This window comes from Homo sapiens, chromosome 2, assembly GCF_000001405.40.
Source record: "Homo sapiens chromosome 2, GRCh38.p14 Primary Assembly".
Taxonomy (NCBI): domain Eukaryota; kingdom Metazoa; phylum Chordata; class Mammalia; order Primates; family Hominidae; genus Homo; species Homo sapiens.
Window position 1 is genome coordinate 83200710 of NC_000002.12, and position 19525 is coordinate 83220234.

At 36.5% G+C, this 19525-nt stretch overlaps 1 pseudogene; it reads right to left on the minus strand.

The window, feature by feature from the left end:
- Positions 1–12750: 12750 nt before the first annotated feature.
- Positions 12751–18396, minus strand: LOC112268410 (zinc finger protein 141-like; annotated as a pseudogene).
- Positions 18397–19525: the final 1129 nt, after the last annotated feature.

Below are 19525 nucleotides of genomic sequence, written 5' to 3' on the forward strand. Positions count from 1 at the left end.
TATAAGCTCTCTGTATATTTATGCTATTGTTTACTCTCTCAAAAACCCTAGCTAAATGCTCAAGTAGAATTTCAAATGTTTGCATCTTAGGGGTGTATTTCTAGGAACAATATTATTATTTCCTCCTGCAATGTTGAATTAAATGGTTATATCAATAAATAATTTTCTGGGTGCTTCCGCGGGAGTTCCACATGTAACTCTAGGAATTCTCCATAGGCAAACTGTGACTATTCTCATGGTATGTTTGAGAAAAATAATGTATTTTTATTTGCATAAGCAATCATTTGCTAAATACTTAAAATATGCAAGACATTATAATGGGTGCTGGGAAAGGAAAATGCAGTGTTAGCAAAGCAGCCCAGGCTTTCAACACATTTAAAATCAAATCTGGAGAAAAAATATATTTGTGAACAATTGTCTGTTTCAGGTAGGGGTGACTGAAGGCCACCTTTCACTAGTCGACTTCATACAAATGGTGTTGTGTGCCAGCAAATATTTCTTCACCTACTGTCTTTTTACCAAGAAATTACTCCACTCTTCTCTTCTGTTTTGGACTCTTCTCTTGCTTTCTTCTTTCCTTTTCATTCTGTTCTTTCTTTTCCTTTTCTTTTTTGTTTGTTTATTTGTTTTTCATCACCTCACCTGAGAATCCTTTCCCTTTCTTTCCTGGCATTGTCCAGATTTACTTCTTTATATTTCATACCAGGACTAACCTGCCCCTCTGATAGGACATATTTTGAATAGTGTTATATTTTATGTGTGATAACATGCATACATTAAAAATATTTTATATATGTAGTGTAACATAATATGTGTCTTGAAGTACTTAGCTTTATGATTGGTTTGCACTCAGAGTGATAAGATCAGGTAATAACATTCCAGAAATCATATTCATCTTTCTTCATCTAAATATCTAAGAAGTTTTGTTAATTAATTATTAACCTCAAAATGATATTTCTTGTGTGAAGTAAACAATGCCCAATTAGTGTGTTCACTTTGAAACATAGTAAGGACCCCTCCACTTTTCCTAACAGGTGTAATAATTTTGCAGGCACAATAGCTTTTGACCACTAGGCAGTCACATTAGTTCTTCAGTCCTGGAAGACACACACAAACAAAACTTGCTATTCCCATCAGAATGCTGGGTTTTCTTGGAATAAGCACTTTAAGCTGTATATTATCTTGAATGGGTAATTACATATTCCCTATGATAACAAGTGGCAGAATTTTTAGTGAACTAACTTGCCTATTTGCTGGATTTCGGAATAAGAATTGTTTTCATTGTTGCTTATTCGCTAATAAGATAGGGAAAAAGGAGATTTATAATGTTCAGCTACCTATAAATGTGCTGTGCTGCCAATATTTATATACTTATTTTATTTATTTATGTATTTATTTATTTTTGAGACAGAGTCTCACTCTGTTGCTGGAGTGCGGTGTCGCGATCTCTGCTCACTGCAACCTCCGCCTCCCGGGTTCAAGCAATTCTCCTGCCTCAGCCTATTGAGTAGGTAGGACTACAGGGGCCCGCCATCATGCCCAGCTAATTTTTGTATTTTTAGTAGAGACAGGGTTTCACCATGTTGGCCAGGATTCTCTTGATCTCTTGACCTCGTGATCCGCCTGTCTCGGCCTACCAAAGTGCTGGGATTTTATATTTTTTAATGGTCAGAGAAGCTTATCAACAGTTAACACCCTAACTTTTGATAGGATATTTTCCTGGATGTGATCTCTCTACCCTGAAGCAGAAGGGCTGTCCTGACACATTATCTTGGTCTGAACTTATATCAGTATCCCTTGCTTGGTTGTGGGAAAAAGTAGAATAAGTACTGTATAGAAATGTACTGTATAGAAACTTTTGAAGTGCCAATATAAAAAAGTTAATGAGAAATCATAGTCCTCTTCATAAACAAGTTTACTGGACCTGAGCCCTAAAGAATGAGTAGAGTTGCAATAAGAGTGATAGGAAAGATCATTCAGGCAATGGGAACACCCAGAGGCAAGCAAGGCATGAAAGCCTGAAAGTACATGATTATTTCTAAGTTGTGATTGAGACAGGTTTAGATACATTTGAAGATATGTGTGCATTTTGTTACATTAAGTAGACAGTTGCAATGCTTGAATACTAATAAGCCAACACTTCCTTTTATTTATAAAACATTATATTAAATAAAAATTGATTGAATAAATTTTTAAGTTTCTCCTCAGATACAAAGTCAGCATATAGGATTGACAGGGACTGCACAAAGTTGAGAGAATCAATGTACTTTGTTTATTTATTTGTTTATTGTTTAATGGTAAGAGAAAAAGGACGAGTTTCAGAAACTCTATAAACTATTACCGTGAAGGAAAACTACACATTCAGCCATGAAGAATAACATGAAGGAACCAACTCAGATGTGTTCATCCTGCTCTATGCACTACTAAGTCCCTTAATCGCTCTTGTTTCCATTAAAAAACTCTACCCATATCTCAAAGATCCATTTAATACCCGTCTGCTCTAAGCATTGTGTCTGTATTAGTTTGTTTTCATGCTACTATGAAGAAATACCCTACACTGGGTAATTTATAAAGAAAAGAAGTTTAATTGACTCAAATTCTGTGTGGCTGGGGAGGTCTCAGGAAACTTGGAATCATGGTGGAAGGCACATCTTCACAGGACAGCAGGAGAGAAAATGAGTGCCAAGAGGGGAAATGACAGATGCTTATAAACCCATCAGATCTCGTGAGAACTCACTCACTATCATGAGAACAGCATGGGGGAAATTGCCCCCATGATTCAATTACCTCCCACTGGGTCTTTCCCAAGACATGTGGGGATTATGCGATTACAATTCAAAATGAGATCTGGTTTGACACAAAGTTAAACCATATCATTCTGCCCCTGGACCCTCCCAAATATCATGTCTTGAAATTTCAAAACAAAATCATGCCCTTCCAACAGTCCCCCAAGTCTTAACTCATTCCAGCATTAACCCAAAAGTCCAAGTCCAAAGTCTCATCTGAGACAAGGCAAGTCCCTTCCACCTGTGAGCCTGAAAAATCCAAAGCAAGGTAGTTACTTCCTAGACACAATGGGGGTACAGGCACTGGGTAAATACACTAATTCCAAATTGGCCAAAATGAAGGGACTAAAGGCCTCATGCAAGTCCAAAATCCAGTTGGGCATTTAAATCTTAAAGCTCCAAAATGATCTCCTTTGACCCCATGTCTCACATCTGGGTCACACTAACGCAAGGAGTGGGCTCCCACAGCCTTAGGGAGCTCTGCCCCTGTGAATTTGCAGGGTACAGTCCCACTCCCAGCTGCTTTCACAGGCTGGTGTTGAGTGTCTGAGGCTTTTCCAGGTGCACAGTGCAAGCTGTCACTGGATCTACCATTCTGGGGTCTGGAGGACAGTGGCCCTCTTCTCACAGCTCCTCCAGGCAGCACATCAGTGGAGACTCTATGTGGGGGCTCCAACCCCACACTTCCCTTCCACACTGCCCTAGCAGAAGTTCTCCATGAGGACTCTGTCCCTGCAGCAAACTTCTGCCTGGACATCCAGGCATTTCGACGAATCCTCCAAAATCTAGGTGGACACGTTTCCCTACATCTTCTAACATCTAGGCAGAGGTTTAAAAACCTCTATTTTTGAATTCTGTGCACCCACAGGCTCAATACCATGCGGAAATGGCCAAGGCTTGGGGCTTGCACCCTTTGAAGCTACGGCTTGAGCTGTACCTTGGCTCCTTTTAGCCACAGCTGGGATGCAGTGCACCAAGTCCTGAGACCGCACAAAGCAGCAAGGCCCTGGGCCTAGCCCACGAAACCAGTTTTTCCTCCTAGGCCTCTGGGCCTGTAATAGGAGGGGCTGCTGTGAAGACCTCTAACATCCCCTGGAGGCATTTTCCCCATTGTCTTGGTGATAAACATTTGGCTCCTTGTTACTTATGCAAATTTCTGCAGCTGACTTGAATTTCTCCTCAGAATGTGGGTATTTCTTTTCTATCACATAGTTAAGCTTCAAATTTTCTGAACTTTTATGCTCTGCTTCCCTTGTAAACGTAAGTTCCAATTCCAAACCATATATTTGTGAATACGTAAAACTGAATGCTTTTAACAGCACCCAAGTCACATTAGATACCCTAAATCATCTCTCTCAAATTCAAAGTTCCACAGATCTCTAGGGCAGGGGCAAAATGCCACTAGTCTCTTTGCTAAAACATAGCAAGAGTCATCTTTATTCCAGTTCCCAACAAGTTTCTCATCTCCACCTGATACTACCTCAGCCTGGACTTCATTGTCCATATCACTATCAGCATTTTGGTCAAAACCATTTAACAAGTCTCTAAGAAATTCTAAATTTTCCCACACTCTTCCTGTCTTCTTCTGAGCCATCCAAACTGTTCCAGCCTCTGCCCATTACCCAGTTCCAAAGTTGCTTCCACATTTTTGGGTATCTTCACAGCAGTGCCCCTACTACCCAGACCCAATTTACTATAGTAGTTCATTCTCAAACTGCTGTGAAGAAATACCTGAGACTGGGTAATTTATAAAGAAAAAAGGTTTAATTGACTCACAGTTCAGCATGGCTGGGGAGGTCTCAGGAATCTTCAATTATAGTGGAAGGCACCTCTTCACAGGGTGACAGCAGAGAGAATGGGTGCCAGCAAGAGAAATGCCAAATGCTTATAAAACCATCAGGTCTTGTGAGAACTCACTCACTATCATGAGAACAGCATGGGGGAAACCACCCCCATGATTCAATTACCTCCCACTGGGTCCCTCCCATGACACATGGGGATTATGGAATTATAGTTCAAGATGAGATTTGGATGGGGACACAAAGCCAGATCATACCAGTGACCTTTCTAATGTTGTTGTCATTGTCTTTCACATTACTTTTTCTAATATTTAAAGTATCACCTCTATACATAACATGCATTGTCACTTAAGAATTCAGAGAACACTGTATTTTTACGACTACACTACAGACTCTTAAAAAGATATGGGCAAGGATTCCTTTAAATACAACCTTGTAGCATATTAAGCCTTTATCAAATATTTGTTTAGTAACAATCATTACAGAGAATCTAGAAAGTAATATTATCGTTCTTAGTCCCTTGAATCTTTTGAATGTGGATAATTTCGAAATGCAATGACACATATAGCAAATAAATGCAAATCAGCAGGAAACCTTAATTAGTACTCAATTTTAGTAACCCATATATCTAGAGAGAATGGCACATTCTAAAACAGAGCCTGGTGTTATGCACCTTGTATAATGACCTTTCTAAAGCAAGAAAGTAGACTGAATATTATATATGGATTGCTAAACAATAAAAATGATTTCGAAGTAAAGTCTCAGTTAACCCAGCCTCTTGATTAGTTACAACTTTCCACTTATTAAGCTGTTCTTTTAATTAAAATGTTCCTATGTAAAAATTATAAGATACTTTATTATTTAGAAAAAAATAGTAAACATTGAGCTTTTACGCCATATCCCTTCCACAAATTTCCTGTTACATTTTCTGTTTTCTAAATAAAGGAGCATTTAAAAAATGCTAAACAGAACTTTCAGAAGGTATATCATAATTCTGTCTGCCTTTTTGATTGATACCATGATCAAGCAGTGTGAGTTTTATTTATTTCCTCGTGTGACAGAATTCAATATTACCTTGATATTAATCCTAGTTGCTTAGCTTTTCCCTATTTTGATGGCTAGATAAGTTCATTTCTGAATAATGACTAGGCAAAGTTGTTAGAAGCATGTATTTATCCCTTCTAGAATTATTTGTCCAATACATATTTAGTGAATACCTACCAGGGAGAAGACACTATGCTATATATGTGTGATACAAGGGAAAGTGAACGTGAGATAGTCACAGTCATACTAAAACTTCTTTCCTACCACTTGAGTATATTTTTCAACAACTCTCCCCTATACAATCCTACTTATCCAAAAATGTGACCATACAAATTTAGAGAGGAAGAATAAACTTACAAATTATTATTTTTGTACCAATTTTATGTATACTTAAAGAAATTGTATACATGTAGCTTCTCCCATGTAACAATAGTATGCCTTATTTATTGTTGTTGTTGTTGGTACTTCTATTGAGGTAGATATTGTTTGATCAAACTATTAATTCATGTAGTATTATCAACTCAACTCTTCTATTTTGATGTACTTTTTGTCATAACATAGAGTCACAGAATATTAGCACAGAAAGAGTCCTCAGAGTTCAAGTAGTGCAAATCCCAATTTTACTATAAACTTTGCCCAGAGAAGCAAAATTAATCATTAAATGTGACAAACTCAATTATTTATTACTAAAACTGGTCACTATGATGCATTACAATAGAATGTGAAAACTTACTGCATGCTTAGTATTCGAATGGCACAAGGTATCAGTTAATATGCCTGCCATTTTGTGCTCCTCAAGTACCATTTTGAGAAGCTTATCAAATCACTAAGAAGCATCAACGGCTTCTTAGTGATTTGCATTACACAAATATTAATTTTTTTAAAAAGTATTTATTTTAAGTTTGCAAGCAATAAGAAATTTAAAAATCATGTTTTAATTCTTCTGAATTATTTAAATATAGAGTTTTGCAATGAACACCAGCATATTCCTCAAAGTGAAAGGAAACCAACTTTCATTCTATGTGAATATATTTTCCTAGCATAACATAGAATAGATTATATAATTTCTGGCATCTATGGAGTCAGACTATTAAAAGAAGGTAACTCCTTCATGAGCCAGCTGTGATATCACTATGAGATTTTTATGCTGTCTCATAAGAGGCACACACACTGCTACTCCCCTCTAATAATAACCAAGTCAGAGCTACCTCAACTCATTACTGTTCTCTCCACTGTTGAGTCAACCCAAGAAGACCTTCTCAAAGACTTCTGTCTTGGCAGCTACTGCTAACTGGTCAATTTTGACAAATAAAATAAAATCTACTTAATTTTTTTGATAAATTATAATCTTCACATTAAATCACTTTTCTTTCTATTTAATTTTTCAGAAGCTAGCATTTAAGTTATGATTTAATAGTAAATCATGTGCCATTATTGTAGCCACTGTCATGCAATACAATGCAGCAGTTGACTACCTATATTGATATAAAATATAGTTAACAAGTTTTTTGTTGTGCGTGTAGTATATTTCAAATATTGCGTCCTTGTCTTAAGATCAGAGATTAGATTTGAGGAGAATATATGATTATGTAATTAAAATGCCAAAATGAATGTTAGGGTGTGTACATTTAGTAAGAGTTCAAAGGCAGCAAAAATACTTTGAGTCTAGTAATTGCAAAGGACTTAATAGAAATTGTGGCATTTGAGTAAGACTTGAGAGGGTTAGTTTTTTGTTTTTTGTTTTGTTTTTCTTTTTGACAGGGTCTTGTTCTGTCACCTAGGCTGGAATGCAGTGGTGCGATCACGGCTCACTGCAGCTTTGACCTCCTTGGGCTCAAGCAATCCTCCCACCTCAGCATCCCAAGTAGCTGAGACTACAGACACATGCCACCATGCCCAGTTAATGTATTTTTATATTTTATTCTATTTTATTGTTTTGAGACAGGGTCTTGCTTCGTTACCCACGGTGGAGTACAGTGACATGATCACGGCTCACTGCAGCCTCAACCTCCTGGGCCCAAGCAATCCTCCTGCCTCAGCCTTCCAAAATAGCCTTCAGCTGGATCTACAAGTGTACACTACCACACTTAGCTAATTTTTGTATTTTTTTGTAGATATGGGGTTCCACCATGTTGCCCAGGCCAGTCTCGAACTCCTGGGCTCAAGCGATCTGCATGTCTCAGCCTCCCAAAGTGTTGGGATTACAGGCGTGAGCCAAGCCAGTCCTAATTTTTCATTATTACTTTTTATTTTGTAGAGGTGGAGTTTCACTATGTTGCTCAGGCTGGTTTCCAACTCCTGGCTTCAAGTGATGCTCCCACCTTGGCCTCCCAAAGTGCTGGGACTACAGGTGTAAGCCATCGTACCTAGCCCAAATTTTATATTTTCTACAAAGCAGATAGCAAAGGGTTTATGACTGAAAAAAAAAGTACCAATATAAATCTACGTTGTAGTAGGTGATGAAGCATATATATATATAGCAACTTAATTCTTGTAAAAACAACAGTGAATAAAAGAAGACATTTATTTCATAGTCCATTGGGGATCACTATTATAATTTGGTAGGTAGGGTTTACTTCATTTATAAAAGTTTTACAAGAAGTAAAACATAAGTGCTTTCTTGAGCATAAAGCAATTCACTCCTGTGCTATTCACTTCTGCATAATCTATGTGCACCTTGAAAATGTGGGTTATGAAAAACTAGTTTAATATGAATTTTAGCCTTGAATAATGAAAATTAAGCATTTTAGATGATGACTCTTGGCGATATACTGTTAAGTAATTTCATGCATTATCTTTGTCATCACAGTAGATGAAAAATTTGAAGATTAAAGATTAAAGGACATGATTGTTATCACATACCTACTAATTGTTAAATCTTAGGCTGGAACTCATGTTTTAGTAATTATATGAGAATGACATATTGAACTAAGGAGGTCTTCTTTTGTTATTGTTGTCCACCTTTGACTTCTTCTTTGGATGATGATCTCAAATGAACATCATCTTTGATTATCACCAGTCCTGCGAAGTGCCACGTTTTTAAATTCAATTCCCAATTCATAATTCCCTCCATGAAAATGATCTGGAAACATAATCTTTATTATAGCTAACTATTATCACCATGTAATCTTTATTATAGCTAACTATTATCACCACGTAACATCCATGGGAATTATCACAAGTGAGGAAATAAAGAAGGCACTTCATTTTACTAGAATGGACCTAGGAACTATAGGGCTGTTTGAGTTATTCTTCTTTTACAAAGGAGATCCTGAGTCTTTGGCTATTGTGCCATGCTCCAAGCACATTAAAAGTTATTAAAAAGCTAAAACTTTCAAGCAAACTTTAAAAGCCATTAGCTTTAATAGAAATACTCTAGGGAAAATCAGTGTGAAATCTCTTTCCTTATTATTAACCTATTATGAAAAGTTATATTTCTAAAGATTTTACTGTAAGACTGTGCTGATTTAGTTTATGCCCAAAGGAGAAGAAATTCATTATAAAAAATGAATTATGACAAAGGACCAGTTAGAAGAATCTCAGTTTGGGAATTGCTTTCTAAGGGTACCAGGGAATATGTTGTGATGTTGTACTTGCATTTATTAATCTCAGTCTCAAAATTAAGGAATAATCTCTCTAATTTATGGTATTTAAAAAACGAAATTTGGTAAGGAGAAGAAGCCGTTAAGAAAATACATTTTATCAGTATCTCCAAAATAATAAAAGTATTTTTAAATGTTTCAATGATTTCTTATTTAAGACTTTTAAAAATAATTTCAGCCCTTATCACACCTTCAGTTGATATATTCCTTAAGGCAACCCCTGGTATGTAGATGTTTGTTTAGTTGAACTTTCAATCGTTAATGTGCTTCAGGTACAGGACTATTTAAGAGAATTTCTTCTGATAGAACATGAAATCACGTTTAATCTAGTGAATGTCAAATGAATTTCAGAGTTGCTAAGAAACATAAAATTCCAGAGGTTGAATATTAGCATAACTTTCATCTCAGCAATTTACAATGCCAACACAGGTCCTATTTACCAACTATTTCTTGTCCAAATGTTTATCCTTCAATTGAGGAGGCTTCAGAGCTTAACAAGATAAATAACTGGAATTATATCGATTAAATCATTTCTATATAAATTTAAACACTAAATTTGAGATGTAGTAAATGAGTAACACCACATATTAGCAAATTTATGGCAAAACCTAGAACAATAATTCTAGTAGCTCCTATCCCATTTTCCAAGGAAACTAAAGATTATTAATTATTTAGTTCATGGTGAGACATTTATGCATATATTATTCTCTGCAGAACTTTGTTGAAACAAAGTGAGCAGACCTGAGTTACTTTCACAATGTGAAGGCCCTGATATTTTCTCATTCCTTAGCCTTCTGCAAAGCATATAATAGATATTTATTTGATCTGTACATTTGTACTTGAACAAAGCGCAGTACAACTTATTTGGTTGCATTGTCCTTCGTTCTATTTGAAGATGTAAAAAGAATTAGAATACAATGTTGTTTGGGAGTAACCTGCTCAGAAAACACTACACTGTTTTATTATAACAAAGTAGACTACTTCAGGCTGATAGGAGCCATGATCCTATAAAAGAAAATGTCCTCTTAAAACTCTAAGATTAATTTTATTTGTTCAATTATAATTTAAAATAATCAATTCATAAGTGTGGCAGGTTTATTACATATTTTATTTTATAGTCCCAAGCACTACTTATTAAGCACTCCATTTTGTAATGCCACTTAAAAATTCTTAAGTTAGATATGTACATAGTTGCTTTGTATTAAACTATGTTGATATTTTAAATCTATAATTTGGGGTTAACATTGAATTAATTTAAATGATAGTTAATAAAAATTTAGTAGTAATTTTCTTAATAATGAACAAGAAAACAAACTCAAGCATTTTATTTTATCTTCTTCATGTATTCCCTGATAAAGTAAGTACGCAATCAGTAATTAATCACCTCTAGCCAACAATGAGGGTATTGTAATTCTGGAAAATAATGAATTCTCCTAAAATGGTTGGATAGTAACCAAGCGAGCTTAGCACAAACATTAGGATAATAGAAAAGAGATGATGAAAATATGCTGTGCTCTGCTGGAAAAGCCGAGACAAAGTAAATTAATATGCAAATATGCAAATAAGTGGAAGTGATTTCTGAATGCACATTAAAATGGAGCAAACTTTGCTGAAGTTTCATTTGCATTTCCACAGTGATGATCTTTGCCTTTACCTGTTATAGATTAATAAGTTGCTTAACAATTTAATTTAAGAGATATTTTGGATTCTAACACAACATAGGTTAAAAGAAAACAAAATTAAGTGGAAAACGTCAAATAAATTGTGATTGATAGTGAATATTGTAGTAAGACAAAGCACAACCCCACATAATATAAAACGAATTGCCATTTTCTACCTACTAGGAAAAGATAGTTTCATTAACTTATGCCTATTCCCTTTTAGAAACAGCCAGGAAATAACAAAAGAATAAGGGAATCCTACATCTAATACTTGTTTACCCATCTAATGATTATGTTATACAAATTACTAAGCCTGTCAAAATTTTGAAACACTCCACAATGTTTTTGTTTAGAGCAAATGTGGATATTTCTTAACCCTCAAGATATAGATAGGTGATAAATAGAAAATAGATAGATACCTAGACAGATAGATTTATTTTCCTCATCTTCTTCTTCAATAATTCCCACTAAGTACCTTCCTGCCTACCTAATTTGTCTTAATGACAGTGCCTATAATTTTGGTAATTAGCATAAACTTTTTGAATTTGTATGGAATTTTTTTTCCACAATTATCTGAATTATTAATGGGTAATGATAATTTCTTAAGCTTCCTTGTATCCTGAGGATTATATATCCTTCCAGTCACATTTCCAGAAGTAATTAGGCAATGTTATAATTTCATAAGAAATATCAATTTTTATTGTTCACATTGTTAAACAAATAGACAGGGTTTTTAATAAATGAATGTATTTATTGTAAGAGCAACAATTTTGGAAACTCCAAATAAACACAGACCTATCTCCTTTTTCTTTTGAAATATTGGCTTTCTCCTCCAGAAAGTTTGGTGCAAGAGAGAGAAAGAGAAGTAGGTATTGAGATAATAAAATAAGTGGCATTATAATAAAATAAATCATTAGAATACTATATGAGAATTTGAAAAATGTTTTGAATAAGTATGCAATGACTGACACTGACATAAGAGGCATCTGTGGTCTTTGCAATAAATGAAACTTGTGCTCATTTTGGTTCCTGAATTAAATTATTAAAGTTACTTTCACAGTTAAATGCAATCTGATAGCATTCAGTAGAAGTTTTATTTATCATATATTATTTAATCTGTGCTTGGAGCAAGGACAGAAGAAGTGTCAGAAGTTAGAGAAGGGAAGTCCTCTCTGGGCTTCACAAGTGCAGCCAGGTGTATTAACTCCCACAGTCGTGGTGAGACTTTCAGTCTCTGTTTGGTGGAAAGATCCCACCATGAAAGATGGCCAGGTTTCAGGCCAAATGGTGGACTTGATCTCTACAGTTTGTCCTTATAGACCCAAATGTGTAAAATATTTTGGAAGAATTATCCAAAGAAGAATTCTGTACTTTAATATCAGATTTTCATTTGAGAAGAGAAATTTACTACAAAGTTGAAGGACAGATATGATGAGGACATGTGTTGTAACTGTTACTTTTTTTTTCTCATTTCCCACTTAAATTACACTGAATTGAAAGATTTCTATCCTAGGGCTTACTGGAGCTTGTTGGTCAGTAAAGGAGAAACAGGGTCTGACTTGGAATAAAGAGGCCATTGAATGTCTCTGAGTTTCCAAAGCAATGAAACAGACCTGAAATCCTTGAAATTCTGAGAAGAGAAAGTACATTTCCTCAATGTATTAAACTTCCATTTTACATATCAAAATCCGCTCATGATGAGTGTTAATTCTACATACCCAGGTTATAAACTAGAACTAACAGAAAATTGGATCTTCCATTCCCAAAGTATCAAAAGACAACTGAAAGGGGGCAAGTGCCGTGCCTCACCCCTGTAACACCAGCGCTTTGGGAGGCCAAGGTCGGCAGATTGCCTGAGGCCAGGAGTTCAAGACCAGCCTGCCCAATATGGTGAAACCCCATATCCACTAAAAATACAAACATTAACCCATTGTGGTGACACACCTGTAATTCCAGCTATGCAGGAGGCTGAGGTATGAGAATCACTTGAATCTGGGAGGCAGAGGTTGCAGTGAGCTGAGATGGCACCACTGCAGTTCAACCTGAGCAACAGAGAGAGACCCTGTCTCAAACAAACAAACAAAAACAAAACAAACAATGAAAAAGACAACTGAATGTGATGAATGTGATGAAATGAGTCCTGATGATCCCTTCAGCACGTAAGTTATCTTCAGTAGGATTAGAATAAAGCCATGAGCAGAGTATTTTTTGATGTGCTTTGGTCTGAACCACATGGCAAGTCCCTGTAGATCATGGGATTAGGCTGAGAAAAAACTCATATTTGAATGTTTAAGCCACATTGGCTCCTATGATTGTGAAATATATCAAGGAATGTCCAGGTGTCCTATAGCTGGGAGATAAATGCAGAAAGAAGGCAAGATGAGTGGCTGGTGAGCCACTCAAGGGAGTTTATGGTGGGTGAGAATTGAGCCTGTGTCCATGAGTGGCAGGACAGAGCTTGGACAGTAGATCGAAAGAGAGTGAATTTAGGCCTGAATGAGTACCTGATGCCCCTAGGTATTATTGTGAGACTGTCTTGGCACAAAATACCAGGGTTCCATTAGTGAGAAGAGATTATCTTCTTAAGATCATTGTGCTTAATCTGTGGCCAGAAAGGCCATCAGGATGACTGGCATCCAGAAGAAAAGGGGTTGACAATGATATCAAGACAAATATAGGATAGGACAATACTTACATCAGAAAGCAAAAAATTCCCTCCTCTTTGATTTGAGGTCCTGAAAGCATTTTTTCTGCACATACTTAGACACGATCTGGGAGAGTAGTAGTGGATAAGAGAAAAGGTATGAAGGAATAGAAATTTATCAAAAACGTGAAGTATCTCAAACAATTGGAACAGAATGACAGTGGACTATTTTTCCCCACAAGTTTTCTTCTTTTTTTTTTTTCAGACGGAGTCTCACTCTGTCGCCCAGGTTGGAGTGCTGTGGTGCAATCTCGGCTCCCTGCAACCTCTGCCCCCCAGGTTCAAGCAATTCCCCGCCTCAGCCCCGCAAGTAGCTGGGATTACAGGCACCTGCCACCAAGCTGGGCTAATTTTTTTGTATTTTTAGTAGAGACTGGGTTTCAGCATATTAGCCAGGATGGTCTTGATCTCCTGACCTCATGATCCACCCGCCTCGGCCTCCCAAAGTGCTGGGATTACAGGCATGAGCCACTGCACCCTGCGCCCCCTCTCCCCCGACCCCCAACATTTTCAAGCAGAGCGGAAGCTTGGATGAGCAGGTCACATGAAGTCAACAAATTTACCATTTTTTTACGTTGTGGCAAATACATTTGGGACTCATTAACCAAGTGTCATGGCCAGGCTGTAGCTAAGTTGTCAATAGATTGGTGTGGAGTTAGGGCAGAGCACCCAGGGGATATCATCTTATGTTCCAGGCAGGAAAACCAACCCAAAGGTCATGGGGCTTTTATGGCAAGTTCATTGGTCAAATGCCTTTACACACATGGTAATGGTCACCAGGAGCTTTATGGTAAGTGATTTGAATTCTGTTCTCAATTGCAGTCGTATATAGGCTAACTGTAACAAAATATTAGCATATCCAAGTTTCAATTAAAAAAAATTTCTTATGAAAAGAACAGCCTATCAGACACTATCTAAAGTTGGCCCATTTCCCCAGCCAATATTTTATCCATACTTACTCAGAGCCCTCTGTTTGACAAGTGCCCACTTATTTCTGAGATATGGTATTGCTCAGAAAATCTGTATATTTATGGGGAAAAGTTCCAGGCGTCAGTGATCAGTATGGATTTTGTCTCTCAGAAGAGAGGTAGCATGATTTAGATTTGGCTGAACAAGAGGTGGCACAAGTTGAGGGGACTTTCAAAACATAGAAACCCAGCCTTACAGAAGCCAACCCAAAATCTACAAAGTCAGAAACTACTCTGTACAAGAGTAGGACACAAACAGAAAAATCTAGAGGTCAGTTTTCTATTCAAGAAATAGTTGTACAGAATCATTTTTCTATTCTATCCTCAGAAAAGTATCTGGAATATTATAATTATGATGTTCCTACTTACCTAAAAAATCTAATTGCTTAGCAATGCTTCCCTTTATTCATAATTAGATCACTCATAAAGCATATACCTTCATGCGAAGGAGAGATAGAAAAGAAAAAGAAACAAAGAGAAAGAAAAAAAGAGATTACTTCACTACTGTTTGGCAATTATGTTTCTGTATTTTAATCTAGTTCACGTAAGATAATTTTTAAAAAGTTTCATGAAAATATCCATTTGTTTGCACAGAATACTTATCAAATAAGTAGGAAACAATTTTGATTTTATTAGCATTACCTAATAAGTTTTATAGTAATATTTTTGAACATTTTCAATTATATTATCTCATTTTACACTGTGGCATAGCTGATGGTCCTGAATGTTTATTCTATTGGTTCCATATAGGAACAAATATATGTTATTATCAATGCTTTCTGTGGATTAGATCAACGAATTGTCACGCTAAAAAGTTTGGATAGGTTATCATATTCACCTGCCAATGTTGTAAAATAATACAGATGGTGTAGAAAATTTATCAAATGAGAAAAGTATTCCCAAGAGAGTGGAATATACATAGATAGTCCTTTACTGACATTATGCAAATTGAGGTGAGGGCCAGGGGATTTCAGATGTTATGGTATAAAGAAAAGCATTGTCTCCTGAGGAATGAGAATGTGTGCTTTGGAATTCAGTAAGCCTGAGTTCTAATTCTGGCTCTGCTATATTCTAGTTGCATGACTTTTCACAACCAACTTAATCTCCTTGAATCCCAATTTTACTATCTGAAAAACTGGGGTAATAATATCTATTCACTTGTCGGTATGAAGTTTTGTAGAATAATGTATGTCATGTGCTTAACTCAGTCCCTGACTTATAGCTAAGTGCTTTATAAATAGCTAGGTAACATTATTTTCCTTATTTTTTCCAGGGATGATGTTTTAATATATAGATCTGGAAAACTAGGTAGATAGCCGCTGAATGGAAAAAGGGAAATTCTGAGGGTGGTAGGAGAGAAGACTATTAGACACACTTAGAACAAGCTTCACAGTGCTGCCTGGGTCTGCCTTTACCTGTAGGAACCCTAATTGTATCTTTTCAAAGAAATTTCCTGATGTCCTGATTCAGTTCCGGTCATTTACCAGAAATATCTTTCTTCAGACTTTTAATATACAGATAATTAGAAATGAGATCAGCTGACTTCTGCATTCTTCTGTCCTAACCATGATAAATGCACATAAAGATAGATGAAGGCAAAGGAAGGAAGGACAAAATAACGTGCTGTTTCCTACTCTGGCTTAATTCTACTCTAACCTGGCCTTTGTATCACCATAATTAGAATCATTGCTTATTTTCTTTTTTTTTTTAAGTTACGTAATTTTTATTTATCAGAAAAATCTATGTCACACAAACACAGATGTACAGTAAGTCCTGACTTAACGTTCAAATTAGGTTCTTAAAAACTGCATTGTTAAATGAAACAATGTTGCTATATGCCATTCAAACATAACTCTTGTTTATATCAATTAAACTTTCGTAAAATTAGTTTTCCTAAACAATATGTTGCTTCCCTCAGTTTCCAAGAACCTATCAACAATGTTAAGTGAGAACTTACTACTCATTTATATAACTTATATAGATGTGTGTGTGAGACACACATTTTTAAATAGCTACAGAGAGATATATCTCAATGACAGGATCTCAACAGACTTCCTACTGAGACAAAATTATAATAGCTATTAACAAATAAGAGAACAATTGAGAGCTTAATATACACTTAGCAATGTTCTATGCTGGTTAATGACATAGCACATTAATGCTGGTTAATGATACAATGCATTTAAGGAATATACAAGGTGAGTAGATACTTTAATCCAGTGGTGTCCAACCCTTGGAATGCAAGGACTTTTTTGCTTATCTTCTGTGGTGGAAGATATCACAAAAATTTTTCAAAACCTTTTTTTTTTTTTTTTTTTGGAGACAGAGTTTCACTCTTGTTGCCCAGGCTGGAGTGCAACGGCGAAATCTCGGCAAACCGCAGCCTCTGCCTCCTGGGTTCAAGCAATTCTCCTGCCTCAGCCTCCCAAGTAGCTGGAATTACAGGAATGCGCCACCACGCCCAGCTAATTTTGTATTTTTAGTAGAGACGGGGTTTCTCCATGTTGGTCAGGCTGGTATCCTACTCCCGATCTCAGGTGATCCAAGCTCATCAGCTATCATTAGTGTTAGTGTATTTTATATGTGGCCGAAGACAATTCTTCCAGTGTGGCCCAGGGAAGCCAAAATGTTGGAAACTCATGCTTAAAACTTATTATAATTTCAACATTTGCACATATAGAGTTTAAATTACAAACGAGTTTATACTAAAACAGTAACATTTTGAAGTAAAATAACATTACATTTTTTCATATTTAGGAAATGCTTATTGTTCTGATAAAATTGCTGAGTAAGAATTTTGCAGAATTACATTTGCAACCTCTATAGGATTAAAAAACACTAAGCAGAAAAGACGCAACGTCTGTCCCTGGTGTTCCTGGCATTGCTGAACCAAATCCCAGTATGTCCACTACTCATGTTACACATTTTGGACATGATACAAAAAGAATATTTGAAAAAAAATCTTTGACATAGAGCTCCTCAATAACACAAATATTCCAATGTCTCCACAAGCAATGGAACAGTAGTCAGATCATGCAGCACCTTATAAGTGATAAAGTGGATATTAGCTCTCTCTGTAAACTTAAAGGGAGATCACTAAAGCAAAAAGAGAATTCTTAGAAGATTTAACAGCATGGGACAGAAGATGCCCCTATTTGTGAACATGAGAAAAAATGCAGCTTTTTCAGAAATTATTTTCATTGGAGCAGAATTTCCCAAACTACCTGTTTTTATTAATTTATTTATTTATTTTGAGACGGAGTCTAGCTCTGTCACCAGGCTGAAGTGCAGTGGCGTGATCTCGGCTCACTGCAACCTCCGCCTCCTGAGTTCAAGCGATTATCCTGCTTCAGCCTCCCAAGTAGCTGGGACTACAGGTGAGCACCACCATGCCCAGCTAATTTTCGCATTTTTAGTAGAGATGGGGTTTCACCATGTTGGCCAGGATGGTCTCTATCTCTTGACCTCGTGATCCACCCGCCTCAGCCTCCCAAAGTGCTTGGATTACAGGCGTGAGCCATTGCACCCAGCCCCAAACCACATTTTAAGGCCTGGCTTCCTTCTTCACCTTTGGTCCCCTTGCCTGTGTCCTCTGCTTCATTCACTCTCACCTGCCTGGGAGTCTGGCTACGATCTTATGTATCTTCACATTGTAGGGCTCTTTTATTTGCTCCAGACAGGTGACCAGGTCTGGGTTAGAGATAGCAACACCCAGGGAGACCAGGTTTCTGTAGTTCTCCAACATCACATCTCTATACAAATTCTGCTGGGCAGGGTGCAGGCATTTCCACTCTTCTGGAGACAATTCTATGGCCACATCCCTGAATGTTACATTATTATGAATTTAGATGTACGATCTCTGTGTCTAGTGTGGTTGTCTCTGACAATCTCCACCTCCATCCTAATTCCTCCACCAAGATTTGGGGGTTGTCAAGGAAAGGACATTCTGTGAAGACATAGTGTATGTTATACATTTCAATATAAGAATTAAATTGATTCATATGTCAGCCTAAATGAGGTCTTGCCTCCCTCTTGGTGAGTTTTTCTCTTGTGTAACTTGCGAAGTGTGGGCTGGGAGAGCTAGCTATTCCTGTTTGGAAAACATACCAACCTGAAAATGTCCAAGGTGAGCAGATTGGCTTTGATGCCTTTATAAAATTATGAGTCCTCCTACTGAATCATTTACTCTCACTTCCTTCACTTAGTCTGTTCTTACTGTATGTTGGCAAGTGCAGAAGATTAAGATTAGGCCTTGGGCTAATTAAGAAGTCAAAATTAGCACCTTGTCCTGCCTCTAAACTGGGTAGAATTGGTCCTCCCATGACCTGCACAGATTTCAACTTGGCCAGCATATGACAACCCCACAGGAGCTTTACAAAAAAACACCTGTTTGTTGTTTCTATTCTACACAAGTCAATCAAATCAAAAGTTACATGGATGGAACTCAAGCATAAGTTTACTTTTATAAAATGATCTTTAAGTTATTTTAATATGTAACCAAGCTAGAGAATCCTTGCATTGAATCTTAATTCACTTATGGTGCACACTTAGATTTGGAGCTTAATGTGATTTAGGGCTCATATAATGCTTACTTTAAGCCTCTGTGCATATTTATTTGTGGTACTTTCAGAAGAGTAAAAGACAGTGACTTGTAGATAGGATTTGAGTGTTCACATTCCTGAATTTTTACAATTTCTCTTTATATCTCACATGGTTCATCTATCAGTAGGTCTATATACTAAATACATAAGTCATTTACATAGTTTAATATATAAATATGAATACATAATGTATAAATGTTTACTTATGTATACATTTATAATGTATAAAATCATATATAAAAATATACATTATATATTTATTGATAGGAAATTGTGGGGGCTCACCGAGTAGTTGCACGGCTGTCCCTGCATCTATTGCTACAGCTTCGAGTCCACAGGCATGCAGAAAAGAACATGTGC